At 40.8% G+C, this 25,458-nt stretch overlaps 1 long non-coding RNA gene across 1 annotated transcript, besides 2 other annotated features; it reads left to right on the forward strand.

Annotated features, from left to right (window-relative positions):
- Positions 792 to 1,406: an enhancer, noted in NCBI's record as "NANOG-H3K27ac-H3K4me1 hESC enhancer chr6:85482770-85483384 (GRCh37/hg19 assembly coordinates)". NCBI's record gives its function as "activates a minimal SCP1, AML or CMV promoter by ChIP-STARR-seq in primed H9 embryonic stem cells {active_cell/tissue: H9 hESC(primed)}" and the evidence as "EXISTENCE:reporter gene assay evidence [ECO:0000049][PMID:30033119]".
- Positions 1,546 to 25,370, forward strand: LOC124901494 (uncharacterized). The gene is made up of 2 exons (XR_007059927.1): positions 1,546 to 1,792; positions 25,281 to 25,370. It is a non-coding gene; the product is annotated as an uncharacterized LOC124901494 (long non-coding RNA).
- Positions 2,557 to 2,706: a silencer, noted in NCBI's record as "silent region_17363". NCBI's record gives its function as "represses an Ori minimal core promoter by ATAC-STARR-seq in GM12878 lymphoblastoid cells {active_cell/tissue: GM12878}" and the evidence as "EXISTENCE:reporter gene assay evidence [ECO:0000049][PMID:35858748]".
- Positions 25,371 to 25,458: the final 88 nt, after the last annotated feature.

Below are 25,458 nucleotides of genomic sequence, written 5' to 3' on the forward strand. Positions count from 1 at the left end.
CCCCAACCTGACTCCATCCGAGAGTAAGCTTAGTTCGGGATTATTAATTTTTTATGTAGCATTTATTACTTGATATTATTTAATAACAAAACTCTCAATAAAGTAAAAAGAAAGAAGTCAGTCCAGTTTCCGGGGACACCCTAAAATCCCTGGGGGCGGTTCCCACTGGTAAAATACTAAGGAATTCGTATTTCCGATGAAGTTCCAAAGCTGAAATTAAAATCCAGTCTGGGTTTCTGAAGCTCATATTGTTTTGGACAATATCTGCGTTTTCTTTCATTTAGTTTTCGTTCTTTCTGGTTTTGGTGCTTTTTCTTTTCTTTTCTTCTTTTTTTTTTTTTTTTACATTGCCGAAGACAATCTGATTTACAGTTTGACTGAGAGTTGCATTTCTGTTTAGAAGGTGAAACGTCTAAATCGCTTAGCCAAATTATTCCCCGACGGCTCCAATATTGTGCCAGAGTCCCAGAGTCAGTTATTTTTATGTCTGACTGTATTTCACATGTGCAGGGTGATAAATAAAATCCGTCTCAAGCTACAAACTATCTGAGTGTGATGAGGAACAATCGACAAAAATTAACCCAGCCAAAGCGTTGGGGTTCAAGCGAGCGACTGGACCATAAATCAGCGTCGCGGTGGCGTCGGGAAGCTGAGCGCTCGGAGGTGCACTCAGCTGCCTCTGGGTTCGCCCAGTCCGAGAGCGGGGCTCCGCCGCGGGAGCCCGGGCAGGAATCGGACTCCGCCAGGGGTTCGGAGTCTTCTGGGGAAAGGGCGTGTTGGGAGAGAAAGGCAAGCCCACGCAGGAGCGACCTCCTAATTAATTCATCATCGAGAATTCTCCAGTGGGGTGTGTGTGTGTGTGTGTGTGTGTGTGTGTGTGTGTAAAATCAAAAAAGACTTGGGAGGCAAACTTGGGTGGGAAGCACTGAGGAAGGCGAAACAATTCCCAACTTATCTGGATCCCAGACGAGTCCCTCTGATTGCTTAAGTCACTAGAAAAGGAGATTCGTCTCAGCGATTAACAATGATACCCTTTTTAAGAGAGATCAAAGAAGGCGCCTAGGGAAGCTCTACAACGCGGCTTCTTGGAGTTCTGAGGCCGCCTGCGCATTCACTTTCCAGTGTAAGCCCCCGCTCCGGAATCCCGGCTCCAGCCCAGCCCGCGCCCCCTTCCCTGGAAAGACCTGGCCGGCCGCGCCCCCGAACCCCCGAGGCGTGGGTGTCAGGCTAAGCGGGGCTGGTCCGACCGGTCGCTTCCAGCTCTCTCCACCTGTTGGAAAGCCCAGGCCCAAGAACCGCGCCAGCGGCGGCAGCACGTCACTCGGCGGCCACGGGGAGTCAGGGAGCGCGGAACGCGGGTTTCTGTTGATAAGTGCAAAGTACGGCCCTCTCGGTGCTAAGTGCACAGTAAGTGCGAAGAATAAATACATCATCTCCCGGGGCGGCTGTCTCGAAAACGCCTCTCAGCTGCCTGCGTTTCAGAGCCCGTCAAGGGTTATAGCTTAGTGTGGGCGTCCGCGCCGCGCCTGCGCCTCCGAGCGCCGGCCGAGAAGGGCGCGCAGCCACAGCCACCACATGCCACTAGCCCCGCAAGGCGCCTGACTCCTCTAAGGGGAACTCGTAATGCTCACCAAAAGCCTCAGAAACCCTGGAACCTATAAGACCGCACCACCGCGCAAACGGTGTCCCGGGCTGCGCTCCCGCACTGCACCGGCAGCCTATGAGGCGAGGCCAACCCGGAGACTGCGCGCGACGGGCGTGCGTGCGTGCGCCCGCAGATTCGCTTCAGGCGGTAGGTGTGGAGTACCTGGGCAGCTCCGGCGGGAATGGTGTTGGGGAGAAGGAGCTGTCATTCATAGTCTTCTACATATCTGAATAAAGAATTGCTTTTTAAAAATAGGTTCAGAGCCTAGTGAGTGAAAACTTAAAAGTCCCCGCGAGGAGCTCTAGTTCCCGGGCGGCGCGGCCCCGACTTTCTCGTCGGTAGCGCTCTGGCCTTGGGCGCCCGCCGCTTTGGCTATGGAGGTACAGTGGCCGCGTCCCGGGGAGCCTGGGCCTCCTTGCGGCTCCGAGCCTCCGCGGCGCCCGCGCCCCGACTCTCCGGTCCCGGCTCTCTCCAGGCCCGGCTGTCTCCGGTCCCTCACTGACTTCGCCAGCCGCACCACCCACCTCTTTCTCCCGCAGACGTAAACCCGAATACGCCCCGGCCTTGGGCCTAGGGCCTCGGCCTCGCCTGGCTCTACAGGATTCGGGGGCGGGGTAGGCCGGCAGAGCTCAGCTCGCGCCGTGGGTCCACATGTTTTTATTTCGTGACCCTGACCGCGTCCCGGCCATAACTTCCTCTGCGTTACAACGGGGATAATAATCCCCGGCCGGCCTGCCGGATGGTGGCGGGATAATATATCCCGGTGAGGGAAGGACCGAGCTTGGCAGAGACACTTAACTGTCCCACTGTGTGGCTGTTCACAGTCCGCCCAGATTTAGGGGTGGGATGGGGGGTTTTCGGGCCCCGGCCTGCTCCCCCTCTCCAGACCCCGCAGAAAGGGGTTCATGGGCAATTAGGTTCCGCTGGACTCGCCGGGCTGCGGGCGGGTGAGCGCCGCCGGGCACCGGGCGGGGGCACGTGGCGCCCTCTGGGGACCGTCCGCCGCACTGCCTGGCGTCCTGCCTGGGGAGGCGCAGCCTAGCCCAGCACCTCCCGCCGTCTCAGGCTCGGAGGAGCTCTGTACCTGGCTCCGCGCTGACCCCTCCACCTGGCTGAAGGCAGCAGCCCTGGGAGACTCTGGCACTCTGGGCCGGAGCAGGAGCTGTGCCCCATGGCAACCCAGACTGAAAGGGAAGCCCTGTCTGTTGCTCTTTGCTGCGGATTCGAGGGAGGCCGTCTCGAGTCGCTCAGAAGCGACCTAAAGAAGGCACTGGCCTCTGTGCGCCGAACCTCCACGAGATAGACTAAGTCTCCCAACCGTTTACAAAAATATGAAGCCATCTGGAAAAGCGAGCAACCACATGGATGGAGGGAAACAATTAAAAATAAAAGGTAATTAGGAGGAGGGACCTGAAAGGAATATTAACGTAAATGTTCTTTGCGCTTGAGTGTGAGATAACCCCAGATTTTATTTTATGAATTTCTGTCTAAACCTCAGAATTTTAATGGAACAAACGAACCAACCGACAAACAAAAATGCCAAGTATCCTCAAGCCCTGGCCAGCTAAGGGATATTTCCCAGTCAAGTTCCCAAGACCCATTACCGTTATCATCGCTCCATGTAGTGGTGGATGAATGAGCAACTCCTCCATTGCATTTCCATTTAAAATCCCAGGACACTCCACCTGTAACTTTCTTTGACTTCTCTCATTAGTGAAGTTATTTTTGCCCCCCCCACTTTTTTTTTTGTTTAGAAGGGCACATTTCACAAGTTTATCAGTAAATCAACTGTTTCAAACTGCCCCCATCTTGAATGATAGCTGACCAAAAAAAAAACAAAAGCAAAGTAAAGGCATATAGGGTGGTGATCTAAAGTGCTTACGGACTCTCAGTTGCATAGTTATTTCTAAGGCTTCATTTTTTACAAAATGAAACATTTTGGGGCAGTTACAGTTACATTAGTACATGTTGTGGAAATAAGCTTGCATTTAGGGAAAAATTATTAGAAACAGCTGTGATGTTAATGATTCAAAACCCAAAGTACTCAGTATGCTTAGTATCTACTTTTCATCATATTTTTTGTGTGCATCCACATAATGCATACTCTCTGTGTGTAATACAAGACACTTGTTTAATAAAGCAAACGATTGTCTGTGTCAGGGAGATTTGGTCCTCTCTGCCTCTCCCAGTCCATGTGCAGAACAGATCAAAGACCCGAAGTACCTCTGTCTTTCCAAAGGCAGCCAGATGGTGTCTTGATTTTTCTTCAGAATTTTTTTTAGCAATAGAATTCAAAGGATTAAAGAATCTGTGTGATGCTACAGATGAAAGCCCTACCCAGGTAAATTACCTTTCTTTTTAATGTCATGCATACCTTACCTTATTCCACTAAGGTTTTGAGAAGTCTCTGGAGAATACATATAATAAATATGTAAATGGTGAGTAAATGATTAAAACCGGGTAAAACTGAAATCACAATCCAGAGTCAAGATTAGAAGAAAATAAGAACTCTGATATGCATGGAAAATACTAGATAGTTGTTAAAGAGGAACTTTAAATTTGTCTCAGAGCTTCCTAGCAGCAAAAGTAAAAAGCAAAACATTACCCAATCAAAAGACAAGAAGAAATCATATCAGTTACTTACAGAAAGCAATATATTCCCTAAGGTGGTGATGATGATGATGATGATGATGATGATGACGACGATATGATATTTGCTGCAGTAGCAATAGTATGTTTAACATGCTGCTCTGTTCGGGAAACCAACTGTCCCTGCCTCACCTCAACACACACAGCTGTTCTTCCTGGGCTATTTTTACTTTGTTACATATAGATTAAAGCTGCTTCTCTATAATAGAGAGGCAGTTTGCTGTCTGAATTTTGGAATCAGACCTGGATTGAGTGCCGACTTCCTGCTCTGCTGTAACCCTTGGCAAGGCACTTCATCTCTCTCTCTCTCTCACTCTCTCTCTGAGACCCCATATTTTTATTAAAATGGAGAAAATCTATCCTATTAGCTGAAAGAGAGACTATTCTATAGCCTGACATGTCAGAAACTTTTTATAAGTGTTAGGCTATTATTGTTGTTTTAATTGTCATCAATGTACCACAAATGTTAGTTTCCTTTCTCCTTTTTCACAATTTCATAGCATTCAAGGGTACTTCTTCTTTTGGACCTCAGAGCAAAGGAGAATGCTAAAATTTGAGCTCCAAGATCTGTCAGTACAGATGAGCAAGATCTCTGAGCTCCCTCACGCTCCCTGCTTGTCTATAGTGGTTAAAGAGTGGAGCCAGTTTCTGGGAGAGAGCAGTGAGTGCTGGTAAGATGTGTCTTAGATCAGCAAGTACAGGAGTGGGCCAGTCCCTGACTGCTCTCTGTAGCAGCCCCACTCCTAGTCACCAGTGGGGATGGCAGCTAGCTGAATCACCTTAATATTGGGATAAGTCATGGCATGAATTAGTTCCAAAAGGAGGTAAGTATATCCAAAAGAAGGTAAAGAATATTATTTTGGAGTGGGAGGTTTTGCATGTCACTACAGAAAGTCAATATTCTTTTAAAGTATTCAGTACTGGGGATTTGGGGGAGCCTAAAAAAGGTCACACTCTCTTCCCACCATCCTTCCTCATCCTGCCACTTCCTGTGTAGTGCTTTTAAACTGAGTACTTGCTAAGACCCAGCAGTGGTGCCAGGTTTTATGGAGATGAGCTCTCTGTTCTGGATCTATCACCTAAGACTATCCAGGCAATTGGCCTCCAGAGAGGTCTTCTGTTTTTGTTCCTCTTCTGTCTTCCCTTCTTTCACCTGCTAAGCATCCACTAAACTCTTACCCTTCTCTTCCTGCAAAAACTTGTGGGTTGATAATAGATTAACTATCAATCCAGTGTATCTAAGACCCTATATTATATTTCCCAAGGTTAGCTGTATCTTAGAAAAGTATGGAGAAGTATATGTGCATGTTTGATGTATTCTAGTAGATTGTAAGCTTCCTAAGGTCAGAAACCTCATGATGTTTATGTACTGATTGGCCAAATCTAGAACAGCAGATAATTTGTTTCAGCTTGATGCAGCCCCATGACTAAACTTCCAAGAAGCCACATGACATAGCAGGGAGGACAAGGACTTGGAGTCAGAAGAGGGTGCCCGAGGCTTGTTGGCTCTGTCACTGGCTCTATGAATTTGAGTAACTACTCAACATGCTGAGCTTCTGCCTGAAGTATTTAGACAGGATGATCCCAGTGGTGACACATAGCACCAACATTTTATGGTCCTGAATCCACTTTATAGCTGAGAGTGACTTCATCTTTCTCTGAATTAACTGCCATGGCATTTTCTGTCTTCCTCTTTTAAGGGATATAGCACTCCTACCTTGTATTATAGTGATTGCAAACTATTTCTTATCTTCTCTGTTAGGCATAAGCCCCATGAGTTCAGGACAGGTGTCTACATCAGTGTTTCCAAAAGAGCCAGCTCCATGTTTTGCACAACTGTGCTCAATAAGTAGTTTTGAGTGAATAAAATCTGACCCTTTATAACATACACTAATTTGATTTAAAAAGAGGGCAATGGCTGGGCACAGTGGCTCTCACCTGTAATCCCAGCACTTTGAGAGCCTGAGGCAGAAAGATTGCTTGAGCCCAGGAGTTGGAGATCAGCCTGGGCTACATAGTGAGACCCTGTCTCTGTTTTTTCAAAAAATAGCTGGTTGTGGTGGCATGCATTTGTAGTTTCAACTACTCGGAAGGCTGAGGTGGGAGGATCGCTTGAGCCGAGGAAGTTGAGGCTGCAGTGAACCATGATTGCACCAATGCACTTCATCCTGTGTGACAGAGCAAGACCCTGCTTCAAAAAAATAAAAATAATTAGAGAGCAAGCTAACACTCTCCCATTGTTTGGCAGAGACAGCTAGACTTTGGGGGCACTGGTACACATAGGCTCCTTCTCTGTCAGGTATTACTGTCTTGTCTCCATGTCAGCCAGGATATATACAGTCATGCTTGTGGTTGTTATTTTTGTTTGAAGGGTACAGGCTGAATGGTCTAGAACAATTATTCACCTCTTTCCCTTAGCTAATGTATAGAATGTGGCAGAAAAGAAGGAGGCTTTATGATGGCAGAAAGGAGAAAGACACATGGGGGGAAATTTTTTCTCATCTGATGAAGATAGGTAGTGGGTATTGAGTTGTGTCTTCCTAGTCCCCAGTATGGGCAGACGGAGAGGCCTGCCTGTTCCTGTGGCATGGTTTCTTTGTCCATATTTGTCAGCTCTGTAAAACTCTCCCAGGGAAATGGAGATTTTTTTTAAAAAAAGGAGTGAGAAGACAGCTCTACTCTTGTTTGAAATGTATGTCTCTAGATTCCTCTTCTGTAATGGATTCCAGAATAACCAGTAGACTGCTCTTTAGATCTTTAGAGTAATACTGCTAAGAGAAGATACAATAAATCCCTATGAAGAGTCTTTTTTTTATTTTAACTCCTTCTACCAGTGAGGTCTTTGGGACTGCAGCCCTGCCTCCATCAGGCCGTTATACTCACCTTAAACTGAAGTTCCCCCAAGCAGCCTTTTATGCTGTAGCCAACCCAGAGCCTCAGCCTAAGCCAGCTGGCCCAGAACTCACACACTTTTTCCCTAGAAGATTGGTGCTTCTGGAGCTTCTGCTGCTACTGCTGAATGCCACCAAGTGGCTGAACTTTGCTGTTGCCTCTGTTACTGATGCCATCTCCATGGTCAAACCAATTTCCCATTGCTGAGCCTGGGTACAAGCTTGGATCTTGCATGTTGGAGGCATTGCTAAAGTGGTCCAGTTTTGTTGCCTTTCCCTCCTGCTCTGGGTTCTCCTGCTTCTCTTTTCCTAGCCCCATCCCCACACAGCAGTGAAAGTCCTTTTCAGTGAGCTAACGCACTCTGGCTATTCTTGCTGAAGATCTTTTCCTTGACTGCCAGGTCCAAGGGTGTGGTGGGGTATGATGTGAAATAGTACTTCCTTTGTACCTCCCCTTGTAGCTGTAGGAATCTCCATGTATTGACACATGGAAGCTGATCTCTGTTCCCCTTCAGGCCAGTTAGGTTTCCTTGAGCTCAATTGGATGTATGTTTATTCCCATCCATGTATCATCTAAATCTTTATATGGTAGATTTTCAGTACATTTATCTTGTAAATCTTAGGATTATTTATTTTAGAAACTATCAACATTCTAGCAGTTATTCATTAGTCATCAAAATTAATGCTAACCGCAATATAACACAATCCCTGAATAACTGTGGAATAACTCAATAGTTTTCTTCTCACTTAAGAGCCGAGTGAATCAGGTGGCTCTTCTGTGCATCCTTCTTTCAATTGGTGATTCAGGGACCCAGAAGTTAACTCCTTTTTGTGGAGCTGACTTCCATGGAACTCCTTTTTGTGGAGTTGACTTCCATGGAACTTGACTTCCATGTTTGCAGTGGAAAGGGAGGAAAGAGTATAGAGAAAGTGCACCTGTTCTTAATTACCTCAGCCTGGAAGTGACATTGTAATTTCTGTTCACATTCTACTGGCAAGAAATCATCCCCAAAGCCCCATGTACCTGCAGAAGAATCTGGAGAAATGTAGCATTTCTTTGTTCCCAGGAAAAAGGAAATAAAACAATTTGATGACTACCTAGCTTTCTGTCTGTCATAAGTTTTAAAGGGAAATTTTTATCTTTTCTGTGCTGGAGAAACACCAAGGCCAGTATGCCCCTGGACTCAAATGACAGAGAAAGTAGAATCTACTGTTGAATCAGGTGTAAAAACTAGGTGGAGTGCTATAGGCCATTATTTGGCTTTGCACTTATGGAACTGGTTCAAGGACAAAGTTCTCTTTGAGGTCGGGGAGAAATACATGTCATGGAATTGAAACAAGGTGCCCGCAGGAAGATGAGGATGTGAAGAACTAAGGGATACCCACTTATTGTGGTAACAGCCATATCAGTGTTAAAAGCCCCCAAAGCCATTCTATTACAGATTTCCATAGTCTTTTTATTACCAAAGTAGTTGCCAGTGACTTGAAACTTGGGAAAGTTTTGCCAACAAGCTGTAGTGATATTCCAAAATCCATGATTTGATCACCTCTTTTCTGGTCTTTTACTTTTAGTACTAATACATGCTATCAGCACTCGCCCTTCAGACTGTCTTGGTTAACACTTTATTTGTATCTTTAATGATTTAACAGATGTCAAATCTTGTTATTGGTTTGACAAGGGTTGACATTGCTCTATGTCTTTGCTCAGGTCTGGTTAATTTATGAGAGGATAACAGAGCACTGATGTTATTTTCTTGTGCTTTGATGGAAGTTTTAGTGTCCCAACTACCCTGTGGAAGGAGCTTTATACTTCTAAAGTGGTTGCAGTGTTCTTGTTAAGTTTTTTTTTTCCATTACAGTCTGCATTTTACCTTCTCACCGAACAGTATATTGTAATACCATTTAGGATAGTTGGTTCAACACCAGTACCATCAAATTTTCCAGATGATAACTACAGCAGAGAAGAAAACTAGAAATCTTTCTATTCTAGGAGAGAAAATGGACATTGCAAGCTAATCTGTATTGGGTCAAAGAGACTAGGAAAACATATGTGTTGTCTATTTTTAGAACAATTGCATTTATTGTTTAAAATAGCTTAACATTATTCTTATTTCTGAACTTGTATGGTAGTCTTACAAGTCCTCCAGAATCTTATAAATTGCTTTATTGGCTAATGTTCACTGGCCATATCAAAAGCACCTAAGGAAGCCTCTAGCCAAATAAAATAATTTAATGGAGATCCACCGAGTGACAGGAGATACATGTTACAAACTGTACTGACCACAGAGAAGATGTGGCCTTGGCCTTCAGGAGTTTATAGCCAAGTAAACTGTATGGTAAATAAAAAATCAATTAACTCTACTAATAAAGCAAGGAAAGCATAGTCAGAGGCAAACCCATGATAGTACCTAAAGGAAATGTAGGTAAAAGTATTTGGGTAATATTCTTTTAGGGAAAAATGTCAAAAAGTGTCCAAGTAGGAGTCAGGACAAAGCAAACCATAAGAATTGAGAGGTTGTTTCTGGTACAGATTCTTTCACTTACTACCTGTATGACTTTGGGTAAGTTCTTTAACTTTTATGAGCCTCCATTTCCTCAAATGAAAAATGAAGAGCGTAATGTGGGCCCTGGCAAATGCATTAACTGACTCTGCAGGTTGGATGAGACTATATATTTGAAAGTGCTTTAGGATGGTAAAGTGCCACATAAAGTAAAGGCAAGGAGAGGCCTTACTCTTGTACTTCCTCATGTCATTCTCTCCTCTCTGCTTTCTCCTTTCCCCCCTCCACACCCCCACATCCACACACAAACAGCTGTGACCCTTCATTTCAGCACATGGAAGAAGCCAACAGGAAGCAACATATTTTAGGGAGGTGGGATGGGGGGGAGAATTTTTTGATATCCTATTTGGCATCCTGAATATATGTAAAAACAGTAATTTTGGTGAATAATTTTTCCACCAAACATTTGCTTCCAGGCTGCTGAAAACATTTGCTTTGTGAATAAAGACATAATTTAACTATGAGAGGAGGTAGCCCTTGGTGGTGGCTCTAGATCAGTTGTCTGAAAATCAATTTGCCAGATTACCAATTGCAGGGTAACCATCCAGGAAGTACATTTTACCAGAAAGAAGAGCGCTTTAAAAGGCTTCTCACTAGCAGAAGTAGAGGCAAGGATGGGGCATATGCCACTGGGAAAAGAGAAGGCTGTAAACTGTACTTAAAGGAAAGCTTGTCTGCTCATGTTTTAAATGTTAAATCCTGGAAAAATGCTTCAGCATCTGAAATGTGAATCACATGGGAAACTGACATTGAAATGAACAGACCTATGAAATCATCTGTGAAAACTGCTGATGTAGTTTCGCTAAATCTACTACTGATTAGTTTCACTAAAACTAACATTTTGAAAAAAATCAATAACAATTCAGTGAATTAGTTATTTAACAACTTGGTCAGACCAGTAAAGGGTGACTATTGATTCAAATGAGAGTGGATTGTGTCCAAACTGCTTTTTTCACATGTGTGTTTGTGTTTGTGTGTGTGTGTGTGTGTGTGTGTGTGTGTGTGTTACGGAAGGGGGAATACTGCAGGGGTGTCATTTAGGCAGTGGGAATTTTTAAAGCTGGGTAGGAGAGTCATAATTTTTCTACAGTTTGTGCAATTTGGGGAAGGATCTAGAATGGTGTTGAAGGTAAGAGATAGGAGTGGAGGCAAATGCTGGGGAATGTATCCCATAGAACTCAGGTGTGCAAGACCCATCCCAGGAGCACTGAAGTCTGGATAGAAAGAAGCCAATCAGATTTCAGCAGTAGCCACAGTAGGTTTAGAGCTCTGATGAGGAATGGCTATGGAACCCCCAGGTGGTCAGAGATGTGGATTGGTGGCATCAATGCCAGCATCTGAAGAGTTAAGAACCTGACAGCTAATGCTGGTCCAGAAGTCAGAAACCCCATGTTCTGGCCCCAGATCTTCCCTTAAATTGGCTTAGATCCATGCTTCTCAAACTCTGTCAAGGACTAATTTAAAAAATTTCCAATTCTTTTTGGACTGATACATGGTCCTAGTATACATGACTTACACACAGCTTGTGCCATGTATGATTTACCGAGAGAATTAGATTACACTCAAACTGGTATGTACTCTATTCAACGAGGTAAGTATACTGATCATGAGCTTAGATGTTACAGAAATGTAAAATTTCTGTGAATTCTTAAGTGTTTATTCTCAACTTTTGATCTTACCTCTTTATGCATTAGTAACAAACCGTTTGTAGACTATCACTGGAGATGATCTCTAAGGTATTTTCTACTCTGACAGTAAAATGCTGATGTGGGAGGGGCACTTATCTTTCAAATACAGAAATGCTTCCTTTATGTATTGTTGGAGAGTGAGACTGAGACTGTGTATTAGGGAATTTCTCCGAGAATGGAAGCTTGAAACACTGGGTAAGAGGATGCTGATGGTCTTGCACCTTTTATTCCTCCTTCTTCCTTAGTATCGGAACCCGTAATCTTTAGCTGAACTCATAACTCCTGGAATAGAAATTACATTTCCCAGATTCCTTGCAGTTGCTGCAGTCATGCGCTAAATTCTGGACGATAGGATGTAAGCAGAAGTGCTTTTTTCAGTGGGCTGGTTCAGGTTCTTGACTTCAACACACAAAATTTGAGAGCAAGTCCAAAGTGAAGGTAGGTAAAGAAGTTTATTGCAAAGTGAACATACACTCTGATAGTTTGGTCAGAGCAGACTGTTCTAGAATGAGACAATACCATATGGCACTGAGGAAACTTCCTTTATGGGAATCTTGCATGATTATTTATAAAGGGATGGGAATGGGCATTGTTGTTAAGCATATTGTGAGTGGTCTCCTGGATGTGCATGTGATATTGCTGTACATACTAGTACATATATGACATGTCTCATTAACATTTTAATTCTCCACCCAGGGGTGTGTTTTTTATTATTATAGTGAGCATAGGTCAGCCCAAGGAGACTACTCATGGGTTTCTGTACTTGTGTGAATATGAGGATTTCCCTTCTGCTCTTTTACTCCCTTGTTGCAGGATGTTCTAGCCACAAGATCAGGGTGCAATTTGTGCACTGTTGAGCAGTTTGCTCTCTCCATCATTATGGCAAGTTTGTGCCCCTTTAAGGGAGGCTATGATCACCCTCTCTAAGCTACCTCAGTGTGACAACTTATGGGAAGCCTCCTGAAAGGAAAATAACTGGAAAGTGGACATAATTCCTTTATATGTTTAGCTGTCTTGGGAATGGAGGCCATGTAAGGCACAGCCACAAGCTAGATGGAGCCTTGATGCCTTCCACCACAGCCCAGCGTATAAGTGGGAAAGGTGAATTTAAAGCTACATTTAGAATTTTAAGTGTTTCATTTATGAATTTTGTCTTTGTGGGCACTTTGGAGTATTAAAGTGTTTCATTTGTTTATTTGGGTGTTTTTAAGCAGAGTAATGTTGTGACTTTAAATACTAAAACTTAAATATTAGGGAAATAAGTCAGACAACACTGTGAAAGATACATTAGATGGAGAAAAGAATGGAAAAGCAGGTAGTAATATACTGCAGTCTATTATATACTACAATCTACTACAGCATAGATGAGAACATGACACAAGGCATCGGCCGTGAGGAAGGGAGATGCATGTGAGACATGTTTTTACAGAAACAAAGAGATTTGGGTATTGGCCAGGTATGGGCGATAAAGGAAAGTGAGGGGTCAGATAGTTTCAGTGTAGATGATGGTACTTTTAACTGATATTGGACTCAAAAAGCAAATAAAGTTTAGGGAGAAAGGTGATTTTAGTAACTTGGGGAATGCTGAGATAATGCCCACAAAACATGAAGGTTTAATGGTCATACAAATGTTTTGTAAATTTCTATAATCTGCTCCTGAGGGCATGTTTTTCTTTTTTCCTGTAGTGTCCCAACAAATGGTGTTAATGACAAAATAATTTACGAATTGAAAGTTCTCAGGAGGAGATGGGACTTGAAAGTCAGTGATATATGTATAATGCTGTGAGAGCTGGTGAAATGAACAATCCTGAGCAGAGGTAAAAAGAGAATTTAGGAACCTTAGGAAATCTCCTCCTTTAGGAATAAAGAGGAAAACCAGTGAGAGGATGTTTCAGAAGGGGTGAAAAGACAAAAATGTGTTCAAGAAAACAGTTTCTTGAAAGAGATGAGATGTTGAAGAATGAGATGTTGGTGAGTTATATTAAATGCCACCAAAGAGGCAAATTTCATAGAAACTAAGGTCAATGACTTTGGAATTAAGAGTTTGACAGTGATCATTGAGAGAGCAATTTCTATAGAGTGGTGATTCTTACACTTTAGAATCATCTGGAGGGCTTGTTTAACACAGAATACTGGACCACACCCACCCTCTATCCTCCTATTCTGATTCAGTAAGCCTGGGAAATTTGCATTCTTAACAAGTTACCAGGCAATCCTGCTGTCGCTGATCCAGGACTATACTTGAAGAATCACTGCTATAGAGCACCAAGGATAGAAGAGTTGTTGGACAAAAAAGAAGAAGAAGAAGGAAAGAAAAGCCCACTCTACTCACTAATTAAGACTTCATCACCTACTCCTGATGCAAGCAACAGAATAGATTTTTCTTAAATATTCGGAGCTGAAGAACTTTTGCCAAGACATACAACTTCTTTTAACTTCTGTTTTCTGTTCTGTATAAATAGGGGTAATAATAAAACTTGCCTCTACTCATTGCTCTTAGGAGTAAAAGAAATAATATTCCAGGGATATGACAGCATTCACTTCAGTGTTTGGTTCTCAAATAATTGTGGAATCTGAGCATATACATTATTTATCCAAAGACGAAATAGCCTTTACACAGATTAATGTATTTAGTTTTAATAACTGCCTATAGAAACTTTCTGCAGCCCTCCAAAAGGTGTCTTTGTAATTAGTACTCTAATGCCATCTGTAAATTAAAAATTCAGCAAATACAAAAGGCATGATGACTGTTTTCAGAGACAATGGAATTTTATAGTACATGCCACAAAACGTTTTCCTTCTTTCTTTTTTAACATGTGCTGTTTAAAAAATTCTGTCTACTGAAATATTATCCTCTGGTATTTTAAATAAACATTTTAATTAATTGCTTATCATTTAGTTTATTAATGTGATGAGTGAATATAAATCACTAAAACATGTTCGAGGAAAGACTATGAAAATCTATTTAATAAAAAAGTGAATGTTTGCTAAAGAATTTAACTGGATGCCAAAATAAACACTGTCAATATTTTTCATTAAATAAAACAGTATATATTTAAAAACAAAACAGTATATATTTAAGTCATACTAGGTTTAAATAATTAAACTCCACAAGGATAGGTAAATAAACCAGGATTTTGAAAAATTAAATTTAAATAATTTTAACGAATATCCTAATCCAGTAATTATCTTTAGCCAGGCAGTGGTTATTGAATGCGTCTTTTTTTGTTTGTTTGTTTGTTTGTTTTTGAGACGGAGTCTCACTCTGTCGCCCAGGCTGGAGTGCAGTGGCACGATCTCGGCTCACTGCAAGCTCCGCCTCCCAGGTTCACGCCATTCTCCTGCCTCAGCCTCCTGAGTAGCTGGGACTACAGGAACCCGCCACCACGCCTGGCTAATTTTTTTTGTTGTTTTTTCAGTAGAGAGGCGGTTTCACTGTGTTAGCCAGGATGGTCTCGATCTCCTTACCTCGTGATCCACCTGCCTCTGCCTCCCAAAGTGCTGGGATTACAGACGTGAGCCACCGCGCCCGGCCTGAATGCTTTTTTTATGGTTATAGAACAATAATATTTTAAAGTGTTCCTGAATTTTGAGAGAAGGAAAATATTATCTATGATAATATTGGTTTTATATAATTTTCTGAGGGTTTAAATTAGATAATATAAACATACTTGGAACAGAGTACACATCGTAATAATAACAACAATAATAAACATAGTAGCTATTGCTATTTTTGTCTGAAATTGCAGCCAAATCATTACTCTATTAGCCCAGTTTAATCACTAGTACATCACCATATAGTAGATATTATCTCTAGACTCATTTTACAGGTGAGGTAATTAAGCCTTAGAAAAGTGAAGTAGCATCCTAAGCAACACAGCTAATATGTATCCAACACATCTAATTTTAATTCTAAGGGTTTAATTACAAAACATGCTGAAGTTAACTTGAATACAGAAAATATGTCTAAATGGAGATTGTGATCATTTAGAGAGTTACCAAAACATGCCAAATAAAATTCTACACATATTTTTCCACATTTTTGCAATTGTGAATTGTGCTGCTATAAATATGCATGTTCAAGTATCTTTTTCATATAAAGACTTCTTTTCCTCTGGGTAGATACCCAATAGTGGGATTGCTGGATCAAATGACAGTTCTGCTTTTAGACCTTTAAGGAATCTCCACACCATTTTCCATAGTGGGCATACTAGTTTACATTCCCCCCAGCAGTGTAGAGGTGTTCCCTGTTCACATCCATGCCCACATCTATTATTTTTTGATTATGGCCATTCTTGCAGGAGTAAGGTGGTATCACATTGTGGTTTTGATTCGCATTTCCCTTATCATTAGTAATGATGAGTATCTTTCATATGTTTGTTGGCCATTTGTGTATCTTCTTTTGAAGATATCTATTTATGTCCTTAGCCCACTTTGTGATATGATTGTTTGGTTTTTTTCTTGCTAATTTGTTTGAGTTCATTGTAGACTCTGGGTATTAGTCCCTTGTCACAACTGCAAAAATGTGGAATCAACCCAAATGTCCATCAATCAACAAGTGGATAAAGAAACTGTGTACATGTATATATGATGGAATACTACTCAGCCATAAAAAGGAATGAATTAATGGTATTCACAGCAACCTGGATGGGATTGGATACTATTATTCTAAATGAAGTAACTCAGGAATGGAAAACCAAGCATCATATGTTCTCACTCATAAGTGGGACCTAAACTATGTGCATACAAAGACTTAAGAATGATACAATAGACTTGGGGACTCATGGGGAAAGGGTGGGAAGGGGGTGAGGGATAAAAGACTACAAATAGGGTTCAGTGTACACTGCTTGGGTGATGGGTGCACCAAAATCTCACAAATCACCACTAAAGAACTTACTCATGTAGCCAAATACCACCTGTTCCCCAAAAAAACCTACGGAAGTAAAAACAAAATTCTACACATATTTTTCAAATAATATTTCCGATAAAGGTCTTGCATCTAAAATGCATAAAAATCTCTTACAACTGAATAATAAAAAGACAACCCAATTTAAAACTGGGCAAAAGATCTGAATAGACATTTCTCCAAAGAGGATATACAAATAGCCCATAATCACATGAAAAGATGTTTGACGTCATTAGCCACTAGGGAAATGTAAATCAGAACTGCAATGACATTGCACTTCACACCACTAGGATGGCTATGATAAAAAAAAAAGTCAGATAATAACAAGTACTAGTGAGGATGTGGTGAAATTGGAACTCTCATGCAATGCTAGTGGGAGTATAAAAGAGGGTGCAACCGTGTTAGAAAACAGTCTGGCAGTTCCTTAAATGATTAAACATAGAGTTGTCATATGAGTCCACAAGTCCACTGCTAAATATATACCCAAAAGAGATGAAAATATGTGTTCACCCAGAAACAAATGTAAAATTTACAGCAGCATTATTCATAATAGGCAAAGGGTAGAAACAACCCAAATACCAACTGATGAATGGATGGATAAATGTGGTATATCCACACAATGGAATATTGTTTGGCCATAAAAATGAATAAGGTACTGATACATGCTACAACATTGATGAGACTTGAAAAACATTATGCTAAGAGAAAGGAGCCAGTCACAAAATACCACATATTACATGCTTCTATTCTTATGCAATGTCCAGAACAGGCATATCTATAGAAACAGAAAGCAGATTAGTATTTACCTAGGGTTGGAGGAGGTTGAGGGAGGGTGGGGAGAGATGGTAGCTAAGACATACAGGGTTTCTTTTTGGGGTGGTTAAAATGTTCTAAAATTGACTGTAATGATACTCACATGTATCTGTGAATATGTTAAAAACATTAAATTCACTTTAGATGAGTAAATTGTACGATATGTGAACTATATCTCAGTAAAACTGTTTTAAAAATAAAATGTGTGTGCATGCACGTATGTGTGTGCACGCAACACGTTGGGGCAGAGGGGTGTTTGTGTGCATACTTAAAAATATGATTAATGAAGAGGAATGGGTCCAGATGGTACCAAACACTTCATAGCAACATAATTAAAACATGAAATTGTGTTAGCAAAATAGTTTTTTCACATATAAACCATGTTTTTAAGATTCTTAATTTTTCATTTTAAGGCATTATCTACTAACTTTCAACACTGGGTGGGGGGGAAATTAGTTCTCTCTCACACCTCTTCTTTCTCTCCCTCATCACTCACTTGCAGACTTCTCATCTCCTCTCCTCAGAATATAGTTATATCACAATTTTACTTAGATCTATATTAGTATTTACATTATTATGACTATGTAAATGGTATTGCAGGTGAGCTTGTTTGATACCTAAATGTCAAACCCTCTCTTCAATATATTCAGACACATTACACTTTCTACTAGGTTTGCATCCCAGAGTTTTTTGACCTGTTCTAATCTGTCCCAGTTACTCTCTGAGCACAGTTCTGGTTCTGGGATCTAAGGGAGTCCTGGGGAATTTCTTTTTCTCTCTCTGTTCTTGGATTTCTGTTATCTGGACTCAGTGTTTTCTATTTCTTGGTGTACTATTTGATTTGGTGGAATACCTCTTTCCATAGCTTCTTGATAAAGCACACACACTGAGTAAAAATGTTCAGAGCTTGAATGTTTTAAAATGTATTCGTTTTACTCCTGCATTTGACTAAGTTTTGCTGATATTGAATTTCAGGTGAAAATCAATTTTCCTCCAAATGTATTATATCAATTTTTAAAGTCATTAAATCCATTATTTGTATCAATTTTCCTCTAGCTTCCATGTTGCTGTAGATAAATCTGATTTTCTGATTCTTGATTCTTTGGATGTAACTTGTTGTTTCCTACTGGAAGTCCTATAATTTCTTTCTTCCCACTGTTTTAAAATTTCATGGTGACGTATCTTGATGTAGATCTTTTTAAATTTTATTATGCTGAACATTAGGCCACTTTCAACCTAGAGTCTCAAGTCCTTCAGCTACAAAAAATTTTCTGAAATTACCTTGTAGATTTTCCCATTAGCGTTGTATCTTTTTTTTTTTCTAAAACTTCTTTTGTTGGACCTCCTGAACTGAACTTCTATGTATTTTGTTTTTTTTACATATACTTTTTCTTTCATATTTTACCTAGTCCTTATGCTCTACATTCTTGGAAATTTCTTCAAATTTACTTCCATTCCTTCCATATAGTTTTCATTTCTGCTATCATATTTTACTTGTGAAGGGTTCTTCCGTTTTTCCCTGAATGTTTCTTTAAAAAATCCTTCTGTTTTGCCTTACAAATGCACCATCTTTTATCTCTTATTTTACTGTAGACCAATAGCTTTCATATTTCAAGATTAGAACATGTAACATTGCAGAAAAGAGACTGATATAAATTACTCTAGAAGATATATGACAAAATTGAAGTTTCAACTGAAACTTTCTATAAATAATAAGCAATACATTTTCACTTACCTTGTCTTCTCTGCAGCTATTAATAGATTTTGTAAAGTCTTCACCTCACTATACTGTTTATTCTAAGATGCTCTTCCTCTAGATTTACTTTGGTTAACATATTTTATAACAGAGACTTTCCCTGGATGTCTGGGTACGATCCAGCAACTAGGTATGGTCTCACAGGACCTGAAGAAACTCTGGCTTCTGGGGTGGCTGTGTAAAGGGGCTAGGTAGTACACCCAGAAGTGCTGGGAAACTAAAGCCTCTTGTGGAAGTCTTTGACCAATAGATAGGAAACCAAAGATGAGTCAGCACATAAATTGCTCACTTCCCCCATTTCCTCCCAACAACAGAGTCTTCCAAATTACTATGATTATATGTGGTCTCCCTGAAGAAATACCATGTGACCAATTATTGAGCCTGTGATTTCCTGAGGAGTTACGGTGAATTGACAATGCATTTGCTTTCCTTTTTTTTTCCACCTCAGTTTTCCCTTTCTGTTGTTTCACTGGGGTTGTATTATCCAAAAAAGTGGCAGCATATAAGCTTTGCTTCAGGATCTGTTTTCTAGAGTAAACCTCCTCATATGTTAATGTTCATAAAAATTACCTGAGTAATTCAATGAAGTACAGATTCTGATTCAATACTCGGGCTGGGGACTGAGAGTCTGTGTTTCCAACAGGCTCCCAAGTGATGCCAATGCAGCTGGTCTGTGGATCACATTTTGAGTTACAAAGCTGTAGGAAACACAGTGTAAGGCAATTGGTATAGAAGTGTCATGGTACTAACCCCTGGTGTGCTTTACTATATTAATATGCTTTAATATGTTGTTAAAGCTGTTACATATGGTTAATTTGGCTGAGGTACAGGTGAGTGACATAGCATTAGAATATATCTCCTGTACTTGAACATTATCTGAGAAAACAATAATTATAAGGATTGCAGTGTTGATGGCTACTTCTGACATCAACAGAAGCCTTGCAAAAAAAAAATATGGGCTTAAGACAGCTGACTGATAACCTATGTCATGCTGTGACAGTCAGAGGACCTTATGGCAATTTTAACAAAACTTTCATCTCCTGCAACTGCATGACTGACTGGACTGAAATTCAGTCCCTCGATCTGTTTATAAGATGGCAAGTCTGTAAAAAAAACTAAATGTGCAGGCTCAATAGTTCCTCTGTGTCTAAATGAGAGTTCTGATAAGAAAAAGAGTTCTGAGAACTGGGGTACAAACACTTGGGTGAATATGCCTGAGAGCCATTAACCCCAAGGAGGTCAAGGAGAGTATGTGTAACCCTTTGCCAGGCCTTGGAGAGTATGTGATTACTTCGAGTAAGTCAATGCCCCAGACGATGATGTTCATTGTCATTAAGATCTGTCCCCACCATATTTCATTGCTTCCAGACAATAACCAGGGTTAGCTCCCAGCACAGCCTAAGCAGGGAAGTACAAGACTGATGCAGAAGAAACAATTACATACCAACAGAATTGTAGAAACAGGATGTATGTATATATACATATATATGAATATGAATATATATATATTAATGAATACACACACACACCAGCAGGAACATGGGATTACATGCAGGATGGGATCTTGAGGGGGTTAACTGGGGTGAGGTGAAGCATATGGGTTGGGTAAGAGAGAATTCATAGGGATTTCACCCAGTTCAGTGTTCTAACGAGTATGTCTATAGCTAGTCTTAATAATTTGTTGAGATAACTCCTTGAAACTTGGATATGCAGTGGCCTACAGTAAGTAAGGTAGTAATGCCAGAACTTTTTTTGGCAGAGTATTGAAGAAGGTCAGAAGGCTTAGTGTGGTGGAAATCTTAGAACTGAATTAGCACCTGAGACCCCTGACTATGTCCCTGAGAGGCAAGAGGGAAAAATCCATTCTCTAAAGCAGTAAGCACTGGTGAAGGGAACCTCCAATATCTTTGAGACCTTTGGCTGTGGTTGTCCTCTGAAGGTCATAGAACTTGGATCCCAATATCAATGGGGATGGCGTTATTATATAACAACTGAGGCTGGTAGCAGCATTAGTTATCAGAGGTAAAAGGAACATGATTACTATAATGGGCAGTAAGACAAGAGTGGCAATCAGTGAGCCTTGACCACAGACCTATGGTGATGGCTAATAGATTATAAATTTCTTAGGACCAAGATGGAGGGGAAGTTGACTTGAGTGTTGCTTGATTTGCATAACAAAAATAATTGATATCTAAAAAGCAGACAGCTGACATCAGTTGTAGCCATGGAAAAATCATTACCTTACCTGGTTTCCAGACCGGGTATAGTTCACAGCAGCAGAGTCTAGTGAAAAAGAGGCTATTCCTCTTGGAAAAACAACCTGAAGTGCCAACTCAGATACATATGATAAATGTATTCAGGTCTTTTCCTCAAAGACCCTGTGACCAGGGTAATTTTACTCTGGGAAAAATGGAACATCTAGACTTTTTGAAGACTGCAAGATATGGCGGCTGAGCTGACACTTATAATAGGAGATCTGAACCATGCTGGTTCTCTGGGTAGAGTGGAGATTTATGACGTTCAGATACTATATGGACTTTTAGTCCAAGGTTTTCTTATTGTGGGTCCACGCAGTTCGCAGATCTACCCCATGGTTATACTTCAAATATATACTTAGAAGATGATAGACTCCTCACAATGAAGGGCCAATTACAAGCTCCTAGGGCTAACCTCCACTCTCTTGACCAGGATAAGTGTACCAAAAGCATACAGCATCCTGAGGGGTATTGAAATGAGCACTGCTATCAAACACTTAGAAGATGTAAAGTGGTTTCCATCATGTCTCCATTAAATTTACCAACCAGACCTCTGCAAAAACCAGATGGATCATGGTTGATGAAAGAGGACTACTGGAAATGTAGTGTGTGTGTGTGTGTGTGTGTGTGTGTGTGTGTGTGTGTGTGTGTTAGTGGTGGTGGGTATTGGTAGCTTCATTTTTGGCTACTACAGCATCGAGACACTTGGTATGCAACTATTAATTTGGGGAACGCTTTCCTTTGATCTCCAGCAGTAGGAAGAAATAAAAGCAATTTCATTTACATAGCAAAGATAGCATTTCACCTTCCCTACTTCCTTTCTTTTTTTTTTTTTTTTTTTTTTTTGAGACGGAGTCTCGCTCTGTCGCCCAGGCTGGAGTGCAGTGGCGGGATCTCGGCTCACTGCAAGCTCCGCCTCCCGGGTTCACGCCATTCTCCTGCCTCAGCCTCCCAAGTAGCTGGGACCACAGGCGCCCGCCACTACGCCCGGCTAATTTTTTGTATTTTTAGTAGAGACGGGGTTTCACCGTTTTAGCCGGGATGGTCTCGATCTCCTGACCTCGTGATCCGCCCGCCTCGGCCTCCCAAAGTGCTGGGATTACAGGCGTGAGCCACCGCGCCCGGCCTCCCTACTTCCTTTCACAGATATCAGACCTGAATTGCACTCTCTGACTGTTTATTCCTTTTCCTCTTCCTTTTATCTACCACAAGCATTTTCCTTAATAAATAAATTGAACAAATAATACCATCTTGGAGTGGTAGAAAGTATTTCTTGAATGATGATACAAATTAATATAAGGTAGAAGTAGGATTTATCCATTCCCAGTAGTCCATTTATGGAATTTCTGTTTCCCTGACCTGCCTCTTTAGGGTCTGCTGAGTTAGAGTTCCTTGGTCACAGATGGTAGTGACTTCTTCTAGGAGACAAAGTCAGATCCACTGACCTGAAAGCTGTAATTATTACCTGGCCATTCTGTATTAAGCATAACTAGACCAACAAAGCCAGGCATAGTGAATTTGATTATCATTAGGACCTTGGGTTGTGACTACAAATTTGGGGGCATGGAATAATTATGTCTGATAGCCAAAGGACTCACTGGTTTGTCTACTGGTGTGCTTCTGTGGCCAGTGATAAGGGGTAGTGGGCAATTCCATCCACCATAGCAGTATAATTGAAGGCTTTGACTTCTCAGGAATGATTGTCTAATTCCACTAAGTCAGCACAATGCCAGCCAAGGATGAGGGAAGTCTAGAATGAGGTAGAGTAGGGACCTAACTACTAATTATGCCTACAGGAGTAACTGCAGCATTAAGGATCAAAGTTTAGCTCAGCATTAAGGATTAAGCATCCACTGTAATGGCCAGTGAAATCTTCTAAAGAGACCAATTCTACTGCTCTCTTTACCACTGGCCATTATACCTGATGTGCTACTTAGAACATTTTAGGTATTCAATAAATGCTTGTTGAAGAACAAAAAACATAACATCAGCAAATTGCTTCTACTCATGATGGGAGCCCCTAAATAGGCTTTCCTAACAGCTTTCCTGTTCTTAGTGTAAATGATATGCTGTACTTCTAATAGTAAATCATTAATTTGGGGTTTTGCTATAAATCACTCTCATGACCTTCACTTGTGTAAGTTTTCCAAAATTCTGATCACTAGAGAAATTGTTTGATCACTAATGTTCCAACTTGAAGCTTTGACAAATCAAATATATTAGAATATAAAGGCTGTCTGAACATCTTTTGTCTCCTCCAGGTCTTCTGTAAGTTTGAGAGAGCCTGGGCTGTTTTTGATGCTTGCAGGGTATTAGATAATAAACATTACATGGAGTTAAAATAACTGTAGTATATTTTAAATGTTTACAAGCAATAAAATAATGTTTTTACCTCTCAAAGTAAAACTTATTATAATTATTATAATTCCCTTATTACCATAGGCTGTCAACAGTCTGAATATGAGGCCCATCATGAATGTGGGACTGGGACAAATAGATCTCAATGTTCCACTCCACTGAGCTTGACCCTGCTCAACTCAACAGACTTTTAACTTGTTGGCACTTTAAAGCATTTTTCAATGACTCTTTTATGCTTCTGAGAAATAGTTCTGCACTTCCATAAAGTGCACCTGGAAATATTGGTACATTTTGAATAATAGCTTTCATATTTCAAAATTAGATCTGATAACTTGCTCTATGGAAGAATGAGAAAAACAGAAGCTCAGCTAGAAGAAATTATATAACATGCAGTTTAGGTTGATATACATAAAACTATGCATAGGTAATAAGTGATATCATACCACTTGAGGGGATATTTTTGGAAATAAATACTATTCCTTTTATTAAGTTTAAATAAATGTTACATACATAGCAGCAAAAGTATTTATCAGTGGGAGCTTTTTAAGTGTGGGTTGGTGATATGGTTTGGCTGTGTCCCCGCCCAAATCTCATCTTGAATTCCCATATGTTGTGGTAGGGACCCAGTGGGAGGTAATTGAATTATGGGGGGAAGTCTTTCCTGTGCTGTTCTCATGATAGTGAATAAATCTCAAGAGATCTGATGGTTTTAAAAATGAGAGCTTCCCTGCACAAGCTCTTTCTCACTCTCTTTGCCTGCTGCCATCCATGTAAGATGTGACTTGCTCCTCCTTGCCTTCTGCCATGATTGTGAGGCCCTCTCAGTCACGTGGAACTGTATGTCCATTAAACCTCTTTCTTTTGTAAATTGCCCAGCCTTGGGCAGTTGGTATAAATCATCCTTGAAATCTTCTGGAACTAAATTGTTTTGCAATAATCTTTGAGTGTGCCCATGATCACAAAATTGAGTAATATAGATATGGGGACCACAGGCACAGAACCTTGTTGTAGACATGTGATCAGGATATGGCAAGGGTATGTATCTTTCTTGTGACTATAAACAGTTGAATGTCCTTCTGGCTGTCAGATTTTGAATCCTACAAACTACTATTTGTAGAGCAGAATATTGTGGCAGGCACTGTGCTATGAATGTTGATTTAAGACTCCTCATGAGTGGTTATTCTTTCTCATTTATCACTCTATCCATAATGCTGAAGACACAATTAGGAGCTTGACAATTATTGATGGCATGTTTTAAAATGAATATGCTACCACATTTGATCCTCACACTGACCCCATGAGATATGTATTATAAACAATTCTACAGATGAGAAGCTGAGGTCAAGTAGCTAGTAAGTAGTAGATTTACTAGCTACTGAATCTTAACTTGTAGGCAGATTCAATTTGGGATCAATTATGCTGAGACGTCCGGAGGGCAGAGTATTATGGCACAGACATTTGGAATTTGCTTGATGGGCTTTATTTGCACATTAAAAAGCACATTACATAGCCAAGTGATATAAACACTCATTTGGGGTCAGAATGATGACTAAGTGGGTAGCTCTGATCCTAAGTGTTCATGATATTGTTATTCCATAGTATATATTCTATATGAGCCTCTGGGAGAGGCATGTATATATTGTTTTTAACTTGAATGCCTGTTCTGTTTTCCTAGAAACCTGAGCCAATACTTTCCTGAGTAACTGGAAAGTGTTTAAATTGTATTTTACTTGTTTTTCTGTCTTTTTTCCCATTTAGAACCATATATTCAAGACCAAAGATCATATCTCATAATGAGGAGCAGCATAAGATGGAAGCAGCTGAATGAATAAAACTGAGATGAAATAATTTGTCCAAAGTTGTATATTTGGTAAGTGGTGGAGCCTAGATAAGAATCTAGGTTAGTGTATTTCAAAAGCTGATAATCCCACTTCCT

Source organism: Homo sapiens, chromosome 6 (assembly GCF_000001405.40).
Source record: "Homo sapiens chromosome 6, GRCh38.p14 Primary Assembly".
Classification (NCBI taxonomy): domain Eukaryota; kingdom Metazoa; phylum Chordata; class Mammalia; order Primates; family Hominidae; genus Homo; species Homo sapiens.